This window comes from Homo sapiens, chromosome 5, assembly GCF_000001405.40.
Source record: "Homo sapiens chromosome 5, GRCh38.p14 Primary Assembly".
Lineage (NCBI taxonomy): Eukaryota > Metazoa > Chordata > Mammalia > Primates > Hominidae > Homo > Homo sapiens.
Window position 1 is genome coordinate 115,842,220 of NC_000005.10, and position 24,902 is coordinate 115,867,121.

A 24,902-nucleotide genomic window follows, 5' to 3' on the forward strand; every position below is an offset into this window, starting at 1 on the left:
CCCGGCCGCCTGGCGCTCGCCAGCTGTCAGCCTCCTGGTGGGTGTGGACAGGGTGCCCACCTCCCTGCCGCGCGGTCAGCCACCGACGTGGCTTTGCCCGGGCGGTTCCTCCGCCCGTCGGTGGGCTGCATGCTTTCCTGGCTGCGCGGGCGAGGCCCTGGAGACTTCCCGGGGCCCGGCCCTCGCCGATCGGGCAGCCGCAGCCCAGCCGCGCCGCGGAGCCCTGCGCCCAGTCCCCAAGAGCCCACCCCGCGCGGCTGCCTTCCTGCCGCCCGCGGCTGCAGTTAGCCCGGGAGGAGGAAGACGGCGTGGAACTCGTTCTTCTCGCCCCCCTCCGCCGACTCCCATCCTTTCCAGGTGGACTTCTTTCTGTTCTTTGGACAGATGGGCTACCGTTTTTCACTGTGGTCCTCTCATAGCACAGGAACTTTGGCTTCCTGCGTTTGATAACTGCACGTTCTGTACAGTCTCTCTTCTGCATGTTTCGATACGTGACAGACTGCCCAGTGTGACTTTCAGGTGTCTCCTTATTGAAAAGGAAGATATGTGAGGACCTAATATTTTTATCAGGCTTTTTACCAGCTGGCTGCAAATTATTTACCCTCGAAGTAACCGGCGACGTTTGTAGTTGACTGATTGGAGCTGTGGTTCTATACCTAAAAGTTATGATTTCAGCTTCTGGTTTGGCATTTTTCCACGTATGGGAATTTGCCCTCATTTATAGTTTTTTTCTATTTATGAAGAATAGTAGCATTTGTAGAACTTCTCTTTTAACGTGTAAATACTGTTTAGTATGGACAAGTGCAGGAGGCATTAAGGTAGTAGAGATAAGTGATTTGTTGATGATCGAGGAAGGGTTTTATAGAGTTATGTGCTTACCTGAGGGCAGAATTCGCTAGCTGAAACACATAAAATTGGACTCCCAGTGGTAGGATTAATGTGAGGTATAACTGTTGTGTGGTATTGTGGCACTTTGCTTATAGCAAGAAATGAGCTTTCAATTCAATTTTGAAATTGTGCCAAGGCTAACACTTTTATGCAGATAAGTCCCAGATGGAAATCAATCTTGCCATTACAAAGTAAATGTGAAAATGTCAGTTTGCCTAAAATGATAATGCAGTCTGGAGGTGTTAGTTGAAGTGAGAAATCTTGAGCTTATTCTTCATTTTTTTCAGTTGTTTTGCTTTTGCTAGCTATAAAGAATATTTTCTGCTACTCGTGTGTGGTTTTAATTTAGTATAACTTCAATACTAATGGTCTGTTTAAAAATTCTACATCATTCTTTAATCCAGATTAAATTCTAGTTGATCCTCCCGAATGGGAAAAAATGCCATTAACTTTACCTGTTTGTTAAAATATAGTACCAGCCTTTATTGAAGGAGTCTTTGTCATAACCATTTTGCCAGTGTCATCCATTTGCAGTGTAAAAAAGGTATGTTGCAATAGTAAAACAATTCAAAAAATTATTTTTCCATATCTAAACTTAAGCAATATTAAAAATAGTGGGTTTCCTGGCTAATCCATGTAATCGGTGTATACTACTCGTATAGTGTATAATTTAACTATCTATTGAAAAATGCATTTAATTTAGAAACTCAGAAATCTGTCTTTCCCTTGTCCAAAAGTGGGAACAGAAGTATTGTTTACCATCACTTACTAGGTAGCAGTGACGGTTAATGTGGGAAGTGGCAGTTTTGGCAGGAGTGGCAGCTCTGGTGGCATTTTTGGCCATTGTATGAGTGACAGTGCCACTGAGGGCACAGAGCTAGAAGATATAAAAAGAAGAATCTGGTGGTCACTGGCCGTTTATAGGTGGAGTATGAGAAGTTGTTTCTGTGTTTTAAGTTTCTATAAGTTGGGTTTTGCCGAGTGTTTTTTTGTCTTTCAGGAATAATTTAAGATTATTTATTTATACATTTGCTTCCTCCACTAGACCATAACCTTTTTGAGGGCAGTTATTTTTTTTCAGTCATTCATTCCATCAGTTTGTCAACGGATAAATTTAATTTATGCCTACCATGTGCAGGCACTGTTTTAAAATCTGAAGATGAACAGATAACTTTCGCTCTTGTGTGAGGAACATAGCACTATTAAGGAGTAGGCTGTATTATAGCATGCCAGATAGTATTACGTGCTGTGGAAAAAAAAATAAAGCGGGTAAGAGTCTTAGAGAGTGAGAGGATGACAGTTTAAAATAGGGTAGTCTGGTAAGTTCTCACTGAGAAGGTGGCATTTGAGCAAAGACTTGAAGGAGGTAAGAAAGGCAGCCTTGCAGATATCTGGGGGAAGAGCATCCCGGGTAGAAGGAGCAGCAAATGCAAAAACCCTGAGGAGAGCGCCTGTTTGAAGAACCCCAGGAACTTGTACATAGCAGGAGCAGACTGTGTAAGGGAACATTAGTTGGAAGTGTCTGTTTGTGTAGGGCGTCATTCTATTCTTGCTGCCTGGAATGTCCTTCCTTTCCATTGCCACGTGTACAAATTCAACCCCTTGTTCTAGGCCCAGCACAAACATCACCTAAACATTCCGTGAAGCCTTTGATCTTGCTCAAAGCCTCCTCCTGGTTTTTAGGATTTTTTTCATCTTTGTTATGACACAGTATTCTCGTTCACAGCCTATAATTCCTCGTGGCAGCCATCCTATAGAATACTTGAAGGAACGTATCAGATTTTAGGTATATTTTTGTCATTCTAAGCAGTCAACACTGAGTCTTGAACATAGAAAACTCTCTAACTCTTTGCTAAATGCATTTATTTAGAATCTCCTAGCTTGGGATAGAGTTGGGATTAGTTAACTTGCTGAGTTTCCTTCTATCTCTTAAAATGTAGTCCTTCACTAACTAGAGGTTTTAAGAATCTCTGCCTTTAGCATAAAAGTAATGATGGCATATGTGTTACTCAGCTGTTTCTGTTTTAAGGGGTCTCTAAGAAGTATATGTCCAATATGAATAAAAATATTGAGTTTAATTTATTAAACAATATCTAGAGGTGTGACTGAGCTAACAATTCCATATACTGGCAGGATGCTGAGGTTTGAGTCCAACAGTAATCGTTTAACACTGAGCAGTTTAAAAAATGTTTAACCATTTGCCAACAAGTTTATCCTACTGCACTTCATTTTCATTCCTCATTTATCTCCCTCAAATATAACAACTTACATATTCATCTCTGCCCTTTAACAGTGCACATTTCCATTTCATGCTGTAATAGATTGTTAGATTCGATTGTGGCTCCAAGCTGTTATATGTGAGAAATAGGAAGTTGCGCACCTGTTTTGCTAAACAGAAGTTTTGGTTCATTCTGCTAGAGTCAGACATTACGAATTCAAGTGTGGGCTGGGTGCCATGGCTCATGCCTGTAATCTCAGCACTTTGGGAGGCCAAGGCAGGCGGATCACCTGAGGTCAAGAGTTCAAGACCAGTGTGGCCAACATGGTGAAACCCCATCTCTACTAAAAATACAAAAATTAGCCAGGCATGGTAGCGCACGCCTATAAGTGCAGCTACTCGCTCGAGGCTGAGATAGGAGAATTGCTTGAACCTGGGGAGGTGGAGAATGCAGTGAGCTGAGATCGTGCCACTGCATTCCAGCCTGGGTGACAGAGTGAGACTCCATCTCAAAAAAAAAAAAAAAAAAAAAAAAAAAAAAAAAAAAAATTCAAGTCTGGACTCAAAATGCATCCCTTTTCGTTTTTGCCTTCTATATCCTTGGTCTATGACTGCACAAATTCAAATGTTTTGCTTGGTTTGTCTTTTTAAGTTGATACTTAGCTTCAGCGACTTGACAACAGTAACCTTTAGTCTTTTAATACTTACCTGACAGTATTTGTGCATTACTGTAAATAACTAATGAGACTTATATTTTATAAACTAAATATATTTTTACATAGCTATCAAACAAAAAAATCCCTTCGGTTGTGATTCCATAGTGTATCCTCTGGTGAATTACTTTTAAAAAATTTTTCTTTTTTTATAGAGAAAAGGTCTCACTATGTTGCTCAGGCTGGTCTTAACCTCCTGGCCTCAAACACTCCTCCAGCTTTGGCTTCCCAAAGTGCTGGGATGACAGATCTGAGCCACCATGCCTGGCCTGTGAATTACTTTTATAAAGTGGAAATGTCTTTCTTTTGTGTGAATTATCTTAGTTGTTTCTTCAGATATAAAATACTGTGTGTATGTATGCATGTGTGTGTACACACCACACACATATTAAGTGCAAGCAGGAAAAATTTCAAATTAACCTATATGAGTTGCCTCAATTTTTTTAATAAACTGTATTTAATTAAACTGTTAACCAAATGCAAGCCTTAGGAGGAACTCTAAGATTCTTCTTTCTCGTTTTTTTTTTTTTTTTTAAATCTTAACATAAAAATACAAAGTGTTGAAAGTATAGATAACTTCTTTTTTCTTTTAAAAATATCCCTTAAAAAGATCCATCCATGTTCACTCATGTCTTTTTTTAGTGACTATTAAGACGTTGTGGCAGATGGGATAATTAAACTTATGTCTGTGATCAAGATAGAATTATCAACACTCCTGAGTATGAGGGTGTTAACACATACTAACACACGGCATTTCAGCTTTTTGTTAAGAAGAAAATTCCATACGATTTGGTTTCCTTCCATATTAGTTATAATGCGTTTGTCTGCATAAATTGGGTTTTATGTAGCCTGACTCAAGTGCTTGGAAAGAACTATGTTAGGTACATTATAGGAAGTGCAGAGTAGTAGACCGATTCCAAAAGTATTTGATTCAGCAAATCAATGACTTTATTGTAGATCCAATTTCTTTCTCTTTCTCTGCTTTACTCATCACAAAATTACTATTATCCAAAGGCTGTTTTTCTCCTTTGGTAATCAGTTCAATTCAGAAAGAGACAACCATCTGTTTCTGCAGTCCTGGACTGTGTCTTTCCCTTCATTCTGGTTAGACCCACCCAAGACCAATATTCTTACCCTAATCAACATCCAACTTTGGATTGGAGCTGAAGATGAGAGTGAAAACGGGAATAAAATGGATATTCTGTTGGAAAGATGAAAGAAAGGAGTGGATGGTGGGTAGGCAAACAAGGGTCTGCTATTTCTTCTTCTAAACTTTTAAAAAAATATTTATTTTTATGGCCGGGTACAGTGGCTCATGCCTGTAATCCCAGCACGTTGGGAGGCCTAGATGGGAGGATTGTTTGAGCCCAGGAGTTCAAGACAAGCCTGGGCAACGTGGCAAAACCCTGTCTCTATGCCAAAAATACAAAAATTAGTGAGTCATGTTAGCACACACCTATAGTCTTAGCTGCTTAGGTGGCTGAGGTGAGAGGATCACTGAGCTCCGGAGATCAAGGCTGCAATGAGCTGAGATTGCGCCATTGCGCTCCAGCCTGGGTGACAGAGGAGACCCTGTCTCAACAAATTTAAAAAAATATATGTTTTTATTGAGGTATAGATGACAAAAAAAAATTACATATATTTACCGTGTACATGTTATTTTTGTATATGTATATATTGTGAAATGGGTAAATCAAGCTAACTAACATGTCTATCACCACTATTCCCTCTTTATTAGCTTTTAATATATATTAGTTTTCTGAAATTTTAGATTGCTTCTGAGGTTGTTAATATCAGGAATAGTTCCTTGTAATATGCAATACTGAACCTGTGTCACAATAGATCTTAATTTCAGGTTTTCCTTATATCAAAGTATCCTCGAAAAACCCAAATGCTTATACGTTCACAGTTTTTATGTGGAGTATGCTGGAAAACTTGCTTTTTAAAAATTAAGACTAAACCTTTTGAATATTTAATTGTAAAGGAGGAAATAAAGTCTTCAAAGTTAAAATGATTTTTGGTTATGAGGTAAGTGTTATAAATAGGACAATGTTATAGGTCATTTCATGGCTTTTCTAAAAGAAGGCCTTACGTGACGTACCTATATTATATTCTTTAGCAAAGTTGTTTTCAATTTTAAGTAAGTTTCTTTTTTTGTGACTGTGGAAAATTAAATATTAAGGCCACTAAGGTCATTCTTGATTTTACCACACACAGATAATTATTAACACTTAGTGTATTTCCCCCCGGTCTTTATTTTTCTTTTCAGAATGTCCCAGTGAATAGGATATACCTTTTAGACATTAATAACACAAATAAATGCTTTGAAGCTGATGATGGATTTATTAAACATTGTGGCTTTAAGATAACTGAATATGTTAATGTTCAGCCACTCTCTTGTTAAAATTTAAAAAAGACAGTATATGGTAATAGCACATTAATAATTTGCATGTCCTAAGAAATGTGTATATATCTTTCTTTTGTATAAAATTAAACTTACCTGTGTAACCTGAGGTTATCAGTGTCCTTGTCTTTTTCGTTCTGAAAGGAAATCTTTGCTAATTTTTGTTTGAAAGTCAAGAGTTCATTCTTACCTTTAGCACTTAGTCTTTTTTGTACCTGTGGATTATGGATTTTGTCACTGCTGTTTTATAATTCAAGGTGATTCTGAGTTGTTACCATCTAGAGGGCCCAGTCCCCTTCCAACTTCTTGTTGTATAAAACTGTCACATTAGGCTAACTAAACACATTTTTTCCTCACCCATCTGCCTTTTCAGCTTTCCTCTCATCAAATCCTTTGAAGTACAATATAGTTAAAACAGCTTTCTTTGCTGAAGAATCAAGCAACTCTTAGAAGGATATTGAAGTGAATAAAGGACAATTCTAGCTAATAACTGTTTTCTTAAGATTCCAAGTGGAGGAAGCCCTTGTAGAGTTAGGCCTCTGACTAGGCCTTCTAGAGATAGGCCTCTGGGAAGAGGGGTGGTCTTTCTGGATACTTTCTGATCTGTCTCTCCATTACACTCTTTCTCTTTTCCTGTCCATATTCTTTCAAGTATTTATTTGTTGTTTGTATGGCCCTATTCTAAGCACTAGTAATACAGTGATAAGTAAGACGGATGTCACCCTTGCCCTGTGGGTTTACATTCTGGTGATAGGAGATAGGCAGTAAATTATTTAAGATTGTAATTAGTCTGAAGACAAATGAAACAGTATAAGGGAATAAAGCTTGATGGAGGAAAGCCTATATTAGATAGGGTCATTGGGAATACCTCTTTGACGACCTGACATTTGAGAGGAAAACTGAATGAGATAAGAGAGGAAGAATATGAAAACAGTAAAGAAAAGAATGTTTCAGGCAGAAAGAAGTGCAGTGTCCCTCAAATGGGACCACACTTGATGTGTTCAGGAATAGCAAGAAGGCAAGCTGAGAAATCACGGGGAAGAGAGGCAGGAGATAAAGCTAAAGAGAACGATGGGGACAGATCATGCCTGTATGCCACACCATGCCCCTTCTTGACATAATTCAGTTTGATGACATCATGCCCAGCATGTTCTCCACAAGAGGAGATACTCCTCTTTGAATCACACTTGCATTTTGCCATTTAAACAGTGCCTCTGCAGAAGGGGCAGTGAGGCTCTCCTCTGATTGGTTACTTTCTTCTCTACCCAGTTATTGTTAGGCTCTGTAAAGAAGGTGTTGCTAGGCCAGTGAATGAAGGTAAAAGTCAGTGCATCAAAACCAGGCATGGTGTGTGCCTATAGTCCCAGCTACTTGGGAGGGTAAGGTGGGAGGATTGCCTGAGCCCAGGAGTTGAGGCTATGCTAGGCAACCATAGCAGGGCCCCTGTCTTCTAAAAAAAAAACAAAAACAAAGGAAACAAAAAACATGAGTGCTCCAGTTCTGTATAGCCTCTCTATCAATGAGACCTGTGATCAAGCTTTCGTAAGTCACCTGTGAAGTAACAGAACTCAAGAAGAAAACCATTTTTTTCTTAGCTTATTGTCTTAATTATATGTGAATAGAGTTTATGTGAAGCCCACTAGACCCACCTCTATTGTACTGAAAAGCATTTACATTTTTCCACTCTTGCAAGCCTGGTGTAATTACAAGAATCACTTGCTGTCAGTCACAGTTCTCTTTGTTACTCAGGAGGAAAGGGCTATCTTTTAATATTCCAGACCCACTGAATTGTTTTGATTACCTTGTGCTTACTGAGGAAGAGTACTAGTTGATTCTACCGCATACATATCCTATTTCCTGTCATTAATATATCTTAGTGTGACATGAAAGGGTTATAAAATAAATTTTATTGTAGTAAAAAATATATAACAAAATTTATCATTTTAACAGTTGCAAGTGTACAGTTTTGTGGCATGAAGTATATTCACATTGTTGTGTCACCATCACCACCCATCCATCTGTAGAACTTAGTCTTTCCCAACAGAAACTTCTTACACATTAAACACTAACTTCCTATTCTCCCCTTCTCCTAGTACCTGGCAAACACCATTCTACTTTGTGTCTCTATGAATTTGACTGCTCTAAAAACCTCATATAGGAGGAATCATAGAATTTTTGTGTTTTGGAAACTGGCTTTTCTTTTAGCACGTCTTCGAAGTTCACTCATGTTATGTAGCATGTATCAAAATTTCCGTAATTTTTAAGGCGGAATAATATTTCATTGTATGTGTGTACATACCATCGACCTAAAAGGAAGAGGCTGAAGCACAAAATAGGATTCAAAGAGTTTACTTGAGCCAAAATGAGAACAGTTGCCTGGGAGACTCAGACTCAAGTATCCTTGGATATGAGCTCCCTTTGGCCATTGTTACAAGCAGGTTTGTGAAGGCATTAAATAAAGGGGACATGGAGTGGGCTGATACTAAGTTGTCTGTCAGGAATTCTCACTAGTTTATAGAAATAACTTTGGTTAATGATTGACTAACATTGTTGAGATGCAGGGAGTAGTTTATAGTGTGTGGTGCAGCATTATTAGGTTATTTTCTAGTTACTTGTGGCAGTATAAAGCAGTTTCAATAGATAAATATTTCTCATAGCTCAAAGGAGAGAAGTAGGATGTGATTGCTGTCACATTTTAATGCCTTTCTGGGCCAGATCATTTAAAAGGACTTGCATTCCTCAGATAAAAGTTTCTTTCTTGATGCCGTATTTTGTTTATCCGTTTGTCAGTGGAAACTTGGGTTGCTTCCATCCTTTGGCTATTATGAATAATGCTGTGAACATAGATGTACTGATATCTGTTTGAGTGCCTGCTTTTACTTTTTATAGGTACATACCCAGAAGTGGAATTGTTAGATTATATGGTAATTTTATGTTTTGCTTTTTTGTGGGGAAGCGGCACATCATTTTCCACAGTGGCTGTACCATTTTACATTCCCACCAGCAATGCACAAAGGTTCTAGTTTCTCTACATCCACGTTATTTTTTGTTTTTTGAAAATAGCCATCTTAATGTTTATGAAGTGGTGCCTCATTATGGTTTTGATTTGCATTTCTTTAGTGACTAGTGCTGTTGTGGGTCTGTTTGTGTGTTTATTGACCATTTGTATGTCTTTGGAAAAATATCTATTTGAGTCTTTTGCCCATTTTAATATTCAGTTGTTTGTTTTTGTTGTTAAGTTGTAGGAGTTTTAAAAATATATTCTAGATATCAGTCTCCTGTTGTATATATGATTTGCAAATATTTTCTCTGATTCTGTGGTTGCCTTTTTACTCTGTTGATAGTGTCCTTTGATACACACAACTGTTTAATGAGATTTAACTTACGTTTTTGTTGTTGTTGTTGTTGTTGTTGCTGGTGCTTGCTTTTGGTATCATACCCAGAAAATATTTTTTTAATTACTATATAATAGTACATTGTATAGTATACTATAATTTAACCAATCAATGTGGACTTCAATTTTGAGTAAGGTTTTTTGATGAGATTAAATAAGAGAATGGTTGTGGAGCTTGACATACAAAGACTTAGTAACTGCTGTGTAAATAATAATGATTACTTTTATTACTGCTTGTTACTTTCTACTTCTAAGTGGAAGATCATGTAGTCAGTCATAGGACTATAGAACACACCAGAGATTGTTCTCAAATACTCTTTGTGTTTTCTCAGAATGAATTATCTCTTTTATTTTATTTTTTTTCCAAAAACCCCAGTGTTTAAATTATATGGGCCCTGTTTTGGTAAAAGGCAAAAGGTTTGTAAGATCTGAAGAGAAACCAGAGTATGTGGGCCCTGTTTTGGAATGAACTTGCTGCTTATAAAATGGAAAGTCCTCAAACACTCTTCCACAGAAAAGTTCTGTAAGAAGACTTTTATAGGAGAAAGTATGGCTGTAAAAGTTGCCCCAGCTTCTTTCATTTTCTCTGAGAAATTAGCTAACCTTTTAAAAAAAATCTTAATTAAAATATAGCTCTCACATGCTATAAGATTCACCCATTTAAAGTATATAATACAGTGGCTTCTAGAATTATATCATGGTTGTGCAACCATCGCCACAATCTAAGTTTAGATCATTTTTGTCAAACTAAATGAAATTTAGTAACTATTAGCAGTCACTTTTCAATCCCCACTCCCCACTGTCCCTGGCAACCACTAATCTGTTTTGTTTCCTTAGATTTTTCTATTCTGAACATTCTATATAAATGGAATCATGAAATATTACAGTCTTGTGATTGGCTTCTTTTACTTTACATGATGCTTTCAGGATTTGCCTATGTTGTAGCATATATTAATATTTCATTACTTTTTATAGCTAAATAATATTTTAGTATGGGGAAATATATATACACTGTATCTTGTTTGTCCATTTATCAATTGATGGACATCTGGGTTGTTTCCACTTTTTGGTTACTATGAATAATGGTGCTATGAACATTCATGTATGAATTTTTCTGTGACCATATATTCTCATTTCTCTAGGGTATATAACTGGGAGTAAAATTGCCAAATCATATGGTAAGAATATGTTTAATTATTTGAAGAAATGCCAGACTATATTCTAAAGTGACTGTACCATTTTACATTCCCACCAACAATGTCTGAGGGCTCCAGTTTCTTCATATCCTAACCAACTCTTGTTATTGTTGGTTATTTTTATTCTAGCTGTCCTGATGGGTATCAAGTAGTATCTTATTGTGATTTTCACTTACATTTTCCTGATGACAGATGATGTTGAACATCTCTTCATGTGATTATCATCCATTTACATACCTTTTTGAAAGAAATATATATTCAAATCCTTTGCCTGTTTTTAAGTTGTCTTTTTATTATTGACTTGTAAGAGTTCTTAATATACTCTAAGTGCAGATCCTTTGTCAGGTATATGATGTGCATGTATCTCCTCCCATTCCATAGGTTGTCTTTTTACTTTCTTGCTGCTATCACTTGTAGCACAGTGGTTTTGAATTTTGATATCATCTAGTTTATCTCTTTTTTTCTTCACTTGAGCTTTTGGTATCCTATCTAAAAAATCTTTGCCTACTCCAAGGTCAAAATCTTGTAACTGTGTTTCCTTTCAAGAGTTTAGTAGCCTTAATTCTTATACCTAGGTCTGTGGTCCATTTCAGGTTAGTTTTGTGTATGGTGTGAGGTGGGGATCCAGTTTTATTCTTTTACATGTGGATATTTAGTTGTTTGAGCACCATTTGTTGATTATTCTTTCCCTATTGAATTGCCTTGGTACTTTACTCCAAGGTTTCCTCCCAGATTTTATCTTGTTCTTGGAGTTCTTAGACCTTCCAGCTACCACCATGGTTGACTCTCTAAATATTTCAAACTCAGTCTGTCACCTTCTCAGCTTTTTGTTATTTCAGTAATAGAGTGTTTGCCATTGAAATTGGGAAATATTTTAATATGTGTCTTTGTTCATTTTTTGCTTCTATAACAGAATACTTGAGACTCAGTAATTTATAGTGAACAGAAATTTATTTGGTTCATGGTTCTGGAGGCTGGGAAGTCCAAGGTCAAGGAGCCACGTGTGGTGAGGGCCTTCCTGCTGCATCATAACATGGTGAAAGGCATCACATGGTATGCACACGTGGGCAAGTGTGGGAGAAAACTTGCTTTGATAACCCACTCCTGTAATAATGACCTTCATTCATTCATGAGAGCAGAGCCCTCATGACCTTATCACCTTTTAAAGGTCTTACGTTTTAACACTGTTGCGTTGGAGATTAAATTTCCAACACATGAACTTTGGGGGAGACATTCAAACCAAAGCAGAATGGTTGATGGTGGTTTAGGGCGTTAATTATACCTGCCATTTATTGAGTACTTTTTTGTGCATGCTAAGCATTTTTTATACATTGTAAGAGAAAATAGGAGAGAATTCTTCTCTAAAGAAATTTAATGAGATATCTTGGAGAGTTCTAATTAAGTTACTATTGTAGGTGCCCCAGTCTCTTCTTGTTTGGGATTTGAGGATACTGCTATCCTGATTGCTGGTTCTTTGCACACTCTGGCTGAAGTTAGGCCTGCCCATGTACACAGAGTCTCCAGCCAGACTTCTTAGGAGAGGCCTTGGCAGAAAACACACTAACTGAATTTTCTTTGCTAGGGTCTTCTCTTTTTCATGATTCCTAAATGTTTGGAGTGCTCTGAGGCTTTGTCCTCAGATATCTCTTTTTTTTTTTTTAAGTGCAACATAAACTATTATTATTCTTCATATATTTTCTTGATTCTGTGATTTTGTCCACATTTTACTTCTGCCCTTCATGTAACTTCATACTCCCCATTCTCTATATTTTTGAATTCTACCTATTCTTTAATGCCCTTCCTCAGTATTTGTCACTTTTCTTTGAAGATGACAGTCTTGCTGCTCAAAATCATTGTTCCTCTTGACTTCTTACAGTATGTTATTTGTACTACTCTTATGTCAGAAATCGCCCTCTACCTTTTATTATAAAGTTATTTTCTATATATGTATGCTTATATATGTGTGTGTGTGTATGTATATATTTTATATCTATCTATCTATCTATCTATCTATCTATCTATCTATCTATCTCTGTCTCTGTCACCCAGGCTGGAGTGCAGTGGTGCAATCTCGGCTCACTGCAACCTCCACCTCCTGGGTTCAAGCGATTCTCCTGCCTCAGCCTCCTGAGTAGCTGGGACTACAGGCATACACCACCATGCCTCACCACTTTTTTTGTATTTTTAGTAGAGATGGGGTTTCACCATGTTGATCAGGCTGGTTTTGAACTCCTGACCTCAAATGATCTGCCTGCGTTGGCCTCCCAGAGTGCTGGAATTACAGGCGTGAGCCACCGTGCCTAGTCCTATTTTAATATTTTTATTCAACCAGGGCCTCGCTCAGCCACCTAGGCTGGAGTCCGGTGGTATATCACGGCTCACTGCAGCCTTGATCTCCCTGGGCTCAGGTGATCCTCTAACCTCAGCCTCCTGAGTAACTGGGACTACAGGCATGCATCACCATGCCCAGCTAATTTTTGTATTTTTTGTAGAGATGGGGTTTCACCATGTTGCCCAGGCTTGTCTGGAACTCCTGGCTTCAGGTGATCCTCCCACCTTGGCCTCCCAAAGTGCTGGGATTACAGGCTTGAGCCACTGCACCCAGTTGATTATGAGGAATTCGGTTTCTTTTTTTGAAATATAAAAAAGGCAAAATACAAAACTATAAATTCAAAATAATGATATCTATATTTTACTTCTTGTATTAGATCATAAGCTGTTTGAGAAAAGGATCTATTTGTCTTTGATCTTGGTAATCCTCTGTATTTTAACATTTACCAGAGTGAATGAATGCATTTTAAGAAAATACTTTCCTAAATTTTTAAAAGAATGATGAGGATGGGAGATGACATTGACTATGATTAGAGGGAAGTTTTAAAGTTGCCTGTGTGATATATGCATAAGGACAGGAGGGAAACGTAGGAAAAGAGAAAATATTGTTAGTGGGTTTCTGTTTTTTTTAAAGTTTATTTTTGTTTTTCATTACTACATTAAGAAATATTAAAATAATAAAAGTTTGTGCCCTTTTGTAACTGTAGTTGTCTTTAGACTGATGTAATCTAGGAGTTGTGACCAACTGAAATATAGCTCTTTTGACTTCGGTTGTGAAACTATAGTGTTAGGAAATCTGATCAGCCTGAAGCAAGTTCTAGGCTCCTTAATGAAAGCTGCTAAGTTAAATAAGGAAAATAGTTTTATGTCAGCAGATACTTATTTAATTTTAGCTTAGCCTTTGGATGTTTGATTAAAATTTTAAGGCATTCTTTCCTATATTGTTTTCTTTTTTCTTCATTTTTAATTGATATAATAACTGTGCATATTTATGGGGTACAGTGTGATGTTTTGATCTATGTATACATTATAAAAGGATCCAATCAAGCTAGTTAATACATCCAGCATCTTTTTTTTTTTTTTTCTAGAGATAGCATCTTGCCCTGTCTCCCAGGCTGGAATGCCCTGATGCCCAGGCTGATGGGCAGTGGTGTGATCATTAGCTCACTGCAGCCTCAACCTCCAGGGCTCAAGGGCCTCAAGGGATACTTTTGGCTCAGCCTCCTTGGTAGCCAGGACTACAGGTGCCCACCACCATGCTCAACTAAGTTTTTAAAACGTTGTTGTTGTTGTTTAGATGGGGTCTCACTTTGTAGCCCAGGCTGGTATGAAATTCCTGGCTTCAAGCAATCCTCCGGCCTCGGCCTCCCAAAGTGCTGGGATTACAAACGTGAGCCACTGCACCTAGCAACGTATCTATAATCTCACCAACTTATTATTTCTTTGTGGGGAGAATGTTAAAAATACATTCTTCTGGAAGTTTTAAAATATATATTATTATTAACTGTGGTCACCATGCAGTTCAGTAGATCACAAAAACTTATTCCTCCAGTCTGACTGAAACTTTGTGCCCTTTGATCAACATTTTTGCTTTCCCCGTTCCTCCTTTTATTCCCACCACCAGCCGCTGGTAACCACCGCTACTGATTTTCTTAGTTGAGTATTGCCAGCATTCTAAGAAGATTCCAAGTGGCAGCAGTTGAAGTTCCTATGAGAAATTCTTTCACTATCAATGTAATGAAACATAGTTAAAGGTTAGCACAGTTGACCTCTTCCTTGATAAGCAGTAATATAATACAGAAAGATAACATTCCTTAAAAGAAAACTTCCTATGAGATTTTATTGTCCTTAGAATTGTAGAGCTGACTTTTCAGATAAGGCCCAGAGGTAGTACTTAAAAATAAGTCAGTGTTAATGCATGCTTATTATATGCCAGATATCATTCTACAAGTATGTACACGTATGTATAAAGTAAGTGTATGAACTCAGTTCTCACAACACCACCATGAGGTAGATATTGTTGCATTCTCCATGCTACAAATGAGGAAAACTCAGGCACAGAGAGGATAAGTAACTTGCTCAAAGTCACAGAGTTAACAAAGAGTACATCCAGGAATAAACCCATATATCTGGTTGCAGATTATTTACTCTCCTCCTTTCCTTCTTTTAGTTTGTTTCTTCAAGTTATACGTACATATTGGTTAAAGAATCTAATAGTTTCATAAGGTTTGTTATGAAAAATAACATTTCATTTCTCCCTTTCCACAAGTAACTATTTTTAGCTGCTGATTTCAGTGTTTATGTACGTGTCTAAATAATGTACTTGTTTTACTGCCTGATTTATTACTTGTAGACATGATTTATTCTGCTATTAAAAATGATTATTTGGCTGTCCTCTCCTCCACAACTAATTCCCAGTCCCCTCATAGTTATTTCATAATTTTGGTTAGATCAGTGTTTGATGTTTACGTTAATTTATTATGTAAACACTATCTTCAGCTGAGCCATGTTGTAAACTGTACTGTTTTTTCTTTCCTGACACTTTTTCTTCAAAGGTTGTAATTACCTTTTCATTTGATGTAGTTTTTAATGCACTTATCACTAGTTTACATCTTTGCCAGTTGTCTGAATCATACACATCTTTTCTCAGTTTTAGGTTCTTAAATAAATCTCTTCTGGAGCCTTTTGACTAGGACCAATCCAGACCAGTTGTATGGCAGTCATGCTGGGATCTTTATTATTTTAGGGGATTCCTTTTGCTTGTTTCCTGTGTTGGACCTCCTATTGCTTCATTTCTTTGTTTACTATCCTGCCATGGTGGAGCCAGTAATACCCTCCAGCAATTTCTTGAGAAAAAGGTCATGGGAAGTAGATTTTTTGTGATCTGGCATGCTGCCCAAAAATTTTTATTATGACTCCACATTGACTGCATATAAAATTTTAGGTTAGAATTTTTTCTCAGAACTTTGATTATATGCTTCATCACCTTTTAGTTTCCAGTGTTGCTATTTAAAAGTCTGAAGCAGTTCTGATTACTTACCTTTGATGTGTGATCATTTATACCTTCCAAAAAGTTGTAGATTCCTGTTTTTTGGGCAGAGTTTCTACAGTTTCACAGACCCTTGCCATTGGTCTGTTTTCATTAGTTGTGCTGGGTACTTGATGGGTCCTTTGGTCGTAGAAACTTTTGACCCCTGCTGGAAACATTTCTTCATTTTCTGTTCTCGAGTCTCCTTTTTTCAGTTTTTCTGAATTTCTTTGGACTCTTCTACGTATCTTATTCTTTCTCTTTCATTTTCTATCTTTGTGCCCTTTGGGTCAATTTCCCACCTTTATTCTCCAGTTTTCTACTGAATTTTTAAAATTTCTCCATATATTTTAAATTCCCATGAGCTTCTTTATTTCTGAATTTCACTCTTTTATAATATACTGTTATTTTATAGTTGTATTATCTTTTCTTACTTCTCTTATATTAATGATATATATTTTTAAATTTTCTTCTTTTTACTTGGTTTGTTTCCTCTGAGTTGCTTTTTCCCCTATTTTATGTTTAACTTTTTAAAAAAATTTATTTATTTTTTATTTTTTATTTTTTATTATACTTTAAATTCTGGGATACATGTGCAGAATGGGCAGGTTTGTTACATAGGTATACAAGTGCCATGGTGGTTTGCTGCACCTATATTAGAGTTGTCTTCAGCTGTCCAATAATCCTTGACTGACTGCTCCTTTCTAAGGATAGGGTACTGAAAGCTGATTGGAAGCTCTCAATCCATGATTAGAGGTTGCCTGTGCGATCTTTACTTGAGGTAATCAAGCTAGGCAGTTTAGGTAGTGTAGGAATTGGAATTGTGACTACAACTCCCCAAATCGTCATGACTTAACGTAATACAAGTTTGTTTCTCACTTGGATAAAGCCCAGCGTTGGTGTTCTTGGTCAACTAGAACCTTTCATGTGGGCCTTTTTTTATCATTCTTGAGAAGGGGCCAAAGGAACTTCTACATCTAGTTAGCATGGAAGATTTTGCAGGAATTTTTATGAGTGAGGCTTGGGTAGTATATTTTTAACAACCTGATCATCTGGGAGGAAAAAGCTCTGATTTATAGCATTTGCTGATCTTTATGGTATAAATACTTCATCATGACCAATTTCAGGCTACTGACATGATGTCACCAAATGCAGAATTAGGAAGAGATACACCCAGTAGGCTTTCATGCCAGCTCTGGCATACCACTGTAACTACTAGCCACATTCCACTGGCCAGAACTGTGTTGTATGGCTCCACCTAAATTCAAGGGAGGGTGAAATTGTGTGCCCTGGAAGTAAGGGAACTAGATTTTAGTGAACAGCTAACAGTTTTCTGTCATAGTTGGTATCTCTATTATCATTATCTTTAGATCTAGTTAGAGTTCCTACAGAGTTATGTTCCAATCTCCTGCCTAGACGGTGAAGAAGGCCTGCCTCTAGGTATTCTGAGAACTGATTAGACAGGATCTGGTGGTATCTGTACATTTACCTAATCCCCATGTTTTCAGTGTGGTCCCTGAATTTATTTTATGTTACTGTAACAAATTACCACAGACTTAGTGGCTTAAAACAACCCAAACTTATCGTTGTACGGTTCTGTAGGTAAGAAGTCAGATGTGGGTTTTACTGGACTAAAATCAAGGTATTGGTATAGCTGCATCCCTTTCTGGAGGCTCTGGGAGAGAATCTATGTTCTTGTCTTTTCTAGCTCCTAGAGGCCACCCTCATTCCTTGCTCATGGCTTCCATTCTCCATGTTCATAGCCAGCGGCATAGCAGTATATCTGTGATTCTTTTTCTCTAGTCACATCTCCCTCTGACCACAGCCCAGGAAAGATTCTCAGATTTTAAAGTGCCATGCGATGCAATTAGCTCCACCTATATAATCTGGGATAATATCTTCATCTCAGAGTCCTTAATCACATCTGCAAAGGCATTTGTCATGTTAACCACACATATTTACAGGTTCCAGGGATTAGGATGTTGTCATTTTTTGGTGGGCCGTTTTTCTGGCTACCACAGTACCCCTTGCTCTCCGAAGACCCTCCCTTTGATCTATTCCTAGTAATAAAATTATGAACTTTTGTTGGGGATGGTAGTGGGAATTTAGTGATCCTTCTGCTTTTCAAACAAACTTTCCATCCTTATTTTACAGTACTCTCTTTATCTTCACTTCCAGACATATGTAAAAGCACCAATTCATGAGGTTTTTGCCTAGTTTGTGACACAAATTGAGTTAGTTTTATGATTTCCCTCTCACCAATTTAGGATTAAATTTTCTGAGAATACTTTAACACTTATTTAAACACTTTCAAGATTTTGTTGTTGTTGTCTTCCTTTCCCATTCTCCTCATCCTTGTGTGTTTATGCCTTTACCAAAAAAGCCCTTTAATATTGTCTTAGCTGGGGTTTGGGCAGGCAACAAAGGCAGATGTGTGTTTAATTTACCATCTTAATTAGAACACAGCTTGCACTTTTAACTTCTGTACCATACTGCCTTAACTTTATTGCCTTTTTTATGTGTAAGGTAACCCAGATTTTGGATAATATAAATGGTTGTGGATCCTGTCTTCTAGATTACAAATTTATTTATTCAATACGCTTTTATTGGCTACTCTACATCAGCCACTTTGCTGAGCATTTCAAATACAAAGCTCAGGTTCCGGTGTTAGAATTCAGACTACTACAAAGGAAATTTGAGCACATTGTTATAAGTGTATGATAGGAATAGAAACAATACTAAGGAACCATGGAGAAAAAAGGGACTAATTTTAATTGAGAGTCAGGAAAGACTTCATAGAAGTCATAATGTTCTAGCTGTGTCTTAGAAAGGGTGTTGCTAGAGAATGGAGTGTGGAAGTTGTTCCCAGACGGAAGTGGGAAAATGTGAAGAAGGTGAATGGTAAGAAGTTCAATGTGGCTGGAGCAGATCATAAAGGGGAGAAGAAAGAGATGATGAAACTTCAGGGATTAGTCTGGCTTAGATTTTGGAGAACGTTTTATGGCATGGTAGGGAGTTTGTATTTAGGTCAGATAAAAACTAGAGATCTTTAAGAAAGGAAGTAACACGGCTTGCACATCTTTGGTTAAATTTATTTCTAAGTTTTTTATTTGTTTAATTTCTTGTTTGGGATGATATTGTGAATGGATTTTAAAAAGTTATTATTAAAAAAATTTTTTTTGAGGCAGGGTCTTGCTCTGTCATCCAGACTGGATTGTGGTGGCATGATCTTGGCTCACTGTAACCTCCACCTCCCAGGCTCAAGCAATCCTCCTACCTCAGCCTCCCAAGTAGCTGGGACTACAGACATGCACTACCATGCCTGGGTAATTTTTTGTAGAGACAGGGTTTTGCCATGTTGACCAGGCTGGTCTTAAACTTCTAGACTCAAGAGATCATCCCACCTCAGCCTCCCAAAGTGTTGGGATTACAGACGTGAGTCACTGAACCAGGCCAAAATTTTCTTTTCTTTTCTTTTTTTTTTTTTTTTTTTGAGATGGGGTCTCGCTATGTTGCCCAGGCTGATCTTGAACTTCTGGGCTCAAGTGATGATCCCCTTCAGCCTCCCAAAGTGCTGAGATTATAGGTGTGAGCCACTGTGCCCAACTCAGAATCATTCATATTTAAGGGCGTGGTTCGGTTCTTTAACTTACTTTTTATAGGATTCCATTGTACAATTCCATTCCGTAATTATCCTTCTGTGACTGGTGGACATTTGGGTCATTTTCAACTTTTCTTATTACAAACAGCGCTTTTATGAACATTCTTCTGTTTGTCTCCTGGTACAGAGGTTAAGAGATTTTTTTTATGTACAGTCAACTCTTGCAAGGGTCTACTTACACACAGCTTTTTTTCAGTAAGTTTATTGGGAAGTTTTTTGGAGATTTTTGACAAATTGAAAAAACTTGCCAATTGTGTAGCCTAGAAATATAAAAAAAAATTAAAAACTTTGGAGATATGTTATCAATGCATAAAACACAGTAGATACTAGTTTATTTTATCATTTACTACCATAAAATATATACAAATCCATTGTAAAAAGTTAAAATGTATCAAAATTTATGCAAACACGTAGAGACTGGACGTGGTGCTATTCTCAGTACGTGGTGCTACTCTCAGTGGAGAGAACTGTAAACAAATGTAAAGATGCAGTATTAAATTATAACTGTATAAAATTAACTGTAGTTTGTACTGTACTACTGTAATAATTCCAACATTCTGTTGCTATTGTGGTAAATTCAGGTGTTTTGAGAATCTGCTTAAAATGCTGTGTGATGCTAATCATCTCCTGGTGAGCAATTTGTCTCTCTAGTAAATTGCACATCACAGTAAAAAGTGCTTTCTCCCAATTCCTGTGTAATTTGTTATCATGTTTGTTGTAATATCATAAACCTTGAATAACACTATGGGAGTCATATGAAGTGCTACTAGTGATGTTGGAAGTGCTCCCAAGCAGCAGAGAAATATCATGACGCTACAAGAAAAAGTTGAATTGCTTGTTATGTACCTTAGATAGAGGTCTGTGGCTGTGGTTGCCCAGTATTCAATGAATCCAGCAAAAGGACTATTGTAAAGAAAATAAAATTCATGGTCAGGCACGGTGGCTCATGCCTGTAATCCCAGCACTTTGGGAGGCCAAGGCAGGTGGATCACTTGAGGTCAGGAGTTCGAGACCAGCCTGGCCAATATGGCAAAACCCCTTTTCTACTACAAGTACAAAAATTATGGCTGGGCGTGGTGGCTCCCATCTGTAATCCTAGCACTTTGGGAGACCGAGGCGGGTGGATCACCTCGGTCGAGTTCAAGACCAGCCTGGCCAATATGGTGAAACCTCGTCTCTACTAAAAATACAAAAATTAGCTGGGCATGGTGGTGGGCGCCTGTAATCCCAGCTACTTGGGAGGCTGAGGCAGGAGAATCGCTTGAACCCAGGAGGCGGAGGTTGCAGTGAGCGAGATCATGCCATTGCACTCCAGCCTGGGCAACAGAGCAAAAACTATCTCGAAAAAAAATAAAAATAAAAATACAAAAATTAGCTGGGCATGGTGGCGGGAACCTGTAATCCCAGCTACTCGGGAGGCTGAGGCAGGAGAATTGCTTGAACCCTGGAGGTGGGTTGCAGTGAGTCAAAATTGCACCACTGCACTCCAGCCTGGGCAACAGAGGGAGACTCCATCTCAAAAAAAAGAAAAGAAAAAGAAAATTCATGAATCTGTAGCTATAGCTATGCCAGTGTGTGAGAAAACTTTGCACCTTTTGCAAAATCCCTTTTTACGTCGTATTGAAAATCCAGCTCTTATGTGGGCACAGGAATGCTATAAGAAAGGCATATCTATAGAATATGATTTGAGAAAAAATGAAGTCATTATATGATAACATAAAGCATAAGGAAGGTAAAGGATCTAAAGCTGGAAAATTTAATGCCAGCAAAGGATGGTTTGATGCTTATAGAAAGAGGTTTGAGTTTAAAAATGTCAAGATGACAGGAGAAGCCAGCTGTTGCTGACCAAGAGGTAGCAGACGAGTTCCCAGGCACCATTAAGAAAACCATTGCAGAGAAAAGATGTCTGCCTGAACAGATTTTTAATGCAGACGAAAGTGCCTTATTCTGGAAAAAGAAAAAAATCTACCACAAAAGATATTTTTTAGTAAGGAAGAGGAACAAGCACCAGGATTTAAAGTTGGAAGGGATAGGCTAACTCTACTGTTTTGTGCAAATGCATTCAGGTTTATGATGAGGACTATCTTTATCTATAAAGCTGCTAATCCCTGAGCCTTGAAGGGAAAAGATAAACACCAGCTGCTAGTCTCTTGGTTCTATAAGAAGGAGTGGATGAGAACCCCTTTTCTGGATTGAGTCCATAGATACTTTGTTCCTGAAGCTAGGAAATTCCTTGCTAGTAAGTGACTGCCTTTTAAAGTTTTTTTGATATTGGACAATCCCCCTGGCATCCCAGAACCCCATGAGTTCAACACCAAAGGCATTGAAGTGGTCACCTTGCCCCCAGTCACAAAGTTTGTAATTCAGCCTAAAGATCAGGGTCATAAGGACCTTTAGGGCTCATTACACTTGGTATTTATGGAAAGGATTTTCAACACTATGCAAGAGAATCTTAATAGAATATCATGCAAGTCTGGAAGGGTGACATCATTAAAGATGTCATTGTTGTTATAGAAAAAGCTGTGAAAGCCATGAGGCCTGAAACAGTGCATTCCTGCTGAAGAAAACCGTGTCTATATGTTGAGCATGACTTCACAGGATTTATGACACAACCAATCAAAGAAATCATGGAAGAGATTGTGAATGTAGCAAAAAAGGTGGGAGAATGAAGGGTTTCAAGATAAGGGTTTCAGAGAAATCTAAGAGCGCATAGCACAACAGAGTAATTAGCAGAACACATTTTGATGGAGATGAGTGCTTCTGAACAATGCCAGATGATAAGGAAGTAGACTTAGAAGAAGCAGCGCCAGAAAACAAATTGACATTAGACAATCTGGCAGAAGAGTTCCAGTTATTCAAGACTGCTTTGACTTCTTTTAATGACATGGACCCTTCTGTAATATGATGCTAAAGCTAAAGCAGACAGTGGAACAAGGATTAGTACTGTATAGAAACATTTTTAGAGAAATGAAAAAGCAAAACGGCAGACAGAAATTACTGTGTATTTCCATAAAGTTATATCAAGTATGCCTGCCTCTCCAGCCTCCCCATCCACTACCTCCACCTTTTCTGCCTTTGCCATACTTAAGACAACAAAACAAACACCTCTCCTCGTCCTCTGCTTCTTCAGCCTACTTAACATGAAGACAAAGAGGAAGCCTTTTTGATGATCTGTTTCCACTCAGTGAATAGTAAATATATTTTCTCTTATGATTTTCTTAATAACATTTTCTTTTCTCTAGCTTACTTTAAGAATTGTTAAGAGAAAAAGTGTAGTGGAGTTAACATTTTTGGGGAGTGAAAACTTATGCATAGATTTCCAAATGCATGGGGGATCAGCATCCCTAACTGCCACATTGTTCAAGGGTCAACTGTCTATGTAATTGCCAATGTGCAATTGTTTTTGATCTTCAAAAACTGGTTTCATATGGTTTAGATTAGTATCTAGGAGAGAAAGTGCTGGTTAATAAAACTGTTTCCCCAAGTGATTATATGTTTACCCTCCCACTGGTGAGATGAGAGTTTCTTTGGCTCTACATCGTTGTCAACATTTTTTACTATCATATTTTTATACTTTTGCTGATATGGTACATGTGGAGCTATCTCATTGTTTTAATTTGTATTTCACTTAATTACTACTGCGATTTAGTATCTTTTCATTTCTTTGTGGACCATTCACATCCTTTCCTGTGAAATTGGTGTTCATGATTTTGGTCAGTCTTCTATTGCAGTGTTTAGGAAGCTTACTCTTGTTTTGTTTTGTTTGAGATAGAATCTCACTCTGTCGCCAGGCTGGAGTGCAGTGGCGCGATCTCAGCTCACTGTAATCTCTGCCTCCTGGGTTCAAGCGATTCTCCTGCTTCAGCCTCCCGAGTAGCTGGGATTACAGGCACGTGCCACCACACCCAGCTATTTTTGTATTTTTAGTAGAGACGGGGTTTCACTGTGTTGGCCAGGATGGTCTCGATCTCCTGACCTTGTGATCCACCCATCTCGGCCTCTCAGAGTGCTGGGATTACAGGCATGAGCCACTGTGCCCGGCCAGGACGCTGACTCTTACTGGAATATGAATTGCTTGGTCCAGGTTAATAAATGTTTATTGACCCAATCCTTGGCTTTAGATCGGCTTATATAAAGATGAGTAAGATGGATGGACTCTTACCTCAGTCTATATTTAGTAAAGGTTAAACTTAATTGGAAGCTCCATAGTTCTATTTCTTTCCTCCATTCAAATATAGATTAGCTACACTATTTATATCTTTACCTTTCTGATTCAGTTTACTCATTTGTAAGATAATCAGCTTTGACTAGTTAATATCTAGTTTCCCTTTTACCAGTGTATGTAATTCATCTAATATTTTTTCTTGTTGGTTTTTGAAACTTAGAAATGTGTTACTTTTATTATAGTGGTAAATATAAATAATTGGGTTTTTTTTCTTTTTCATCAAAAAATACTGGGTTTTGCTTCTGTAAGGTATAATTTAAGTCACTTCTCCAAGGACCCCTCTCTTAGATGGATTTCCCAGACAGATATTGCTACCTTTGATTTTAAAAATTCTTAAAATGCTATTAAACCTATACACTCCATCCTAATATATATGAATTATTCTTCCTCAGAGTGAAGATACACAACAGCAAATCATCAGGGAGACTTTCCATTTGGTATCTAAGAGAGATGAAAATGTTTGTAATTTCCTAGAAGGAGGATTGTAAGTAAAGCATTTCATAGACATTTCTAAGTTTTGACTATGTGATTAAAATATATACTGTTTAATCAGTTTATGGTAAAAGTTTTCTACTTTTGATTAATTGGATTAGGTGAATTAATTGCCACCTATGTTAGCTATAAATCTAACTTAAAGAATTATTTTTAAAAGATATGCAATCTTTTTTCCTCTTAAAAATTTTGGAAGGGAATTTTATATAAAGGTAATATATTAAATCGTAAAAATTCCAACATTACAGGGAAGTATAAAATGTAAAATAAGAATCTCTCAACCTTAGTCCTTCTACCCAATTTCTTGTGTATCCTTCTAGAAAATAGTTTGTATTGACTAACATATAAAGTA

The 24,902-nt window shown here is 37.6% G+C and overlaps 1 protein-coding gene across 15 annotated transcripts in view, besides 2 other annotated features; it reads left to right on the forward strand.

Annotated features, from left to right (window-relative positions):
* AP3S1 (adaptor related protein complex 3 subunit sigma 1) overlaps positions 1-24,902 on the forward strand; it is a 72,147-nt gene that overhangs the window by 285 nt on the left and 46,960 nt on the right. For 10 of the 15 annotated variants that reach the window (NR_157085.1, NR_157084.1, NM_001318093.2 and 7 more), the window contains exon 2: positions 24,451-24,542. The exons of 2 other annotated variants lie outside the window; for them this stretch is intronic. Coding sequence is in view for 10 of the 13 variants with exons in the window: in NM_001318093.2 (NP_001305022.1) it covers positions 24,451-24,542 (92 nt within the window). In the remaining 3 variants the exon portion in view is untranslated. Of the gene's footprint in view, positions 1-267; positions 358-10,759; positions 10,796-24,450; positions 24,543-24,902 lie in introns of those variants that run through there. 3 more of the 15 variants (NM_001002924.3, XM_047416696.1, NR_157087.2) reach the window with 2 other exon arrangements.
* Positions 73-262: a silencer, noted in NCBI's record as "silent region_16256". NCBI's record gives its function as "represses an Ori minimal core promoter by ATAC-STARR-seq in GM12878 lymphoblastoid cells {active_cell/tissue: GM12878}" and the evidence as "EXISTENCE:reporter gene assay evidence [ECO:0000049][PMID:35858748]".
* Positions 353-562: an enhancer, noted in NCBI's record as "active region_22939". NCBI's record gives its function as "activates an Ori minimal core promoter by ATAC-STARR-seq in GM12878 lymphoblastoid cells {active_cell/tissue: GM12878}" and the evidence as "EXISTENCE:reporter gene assay evidence [ECO:0000049][PMID:35858748]".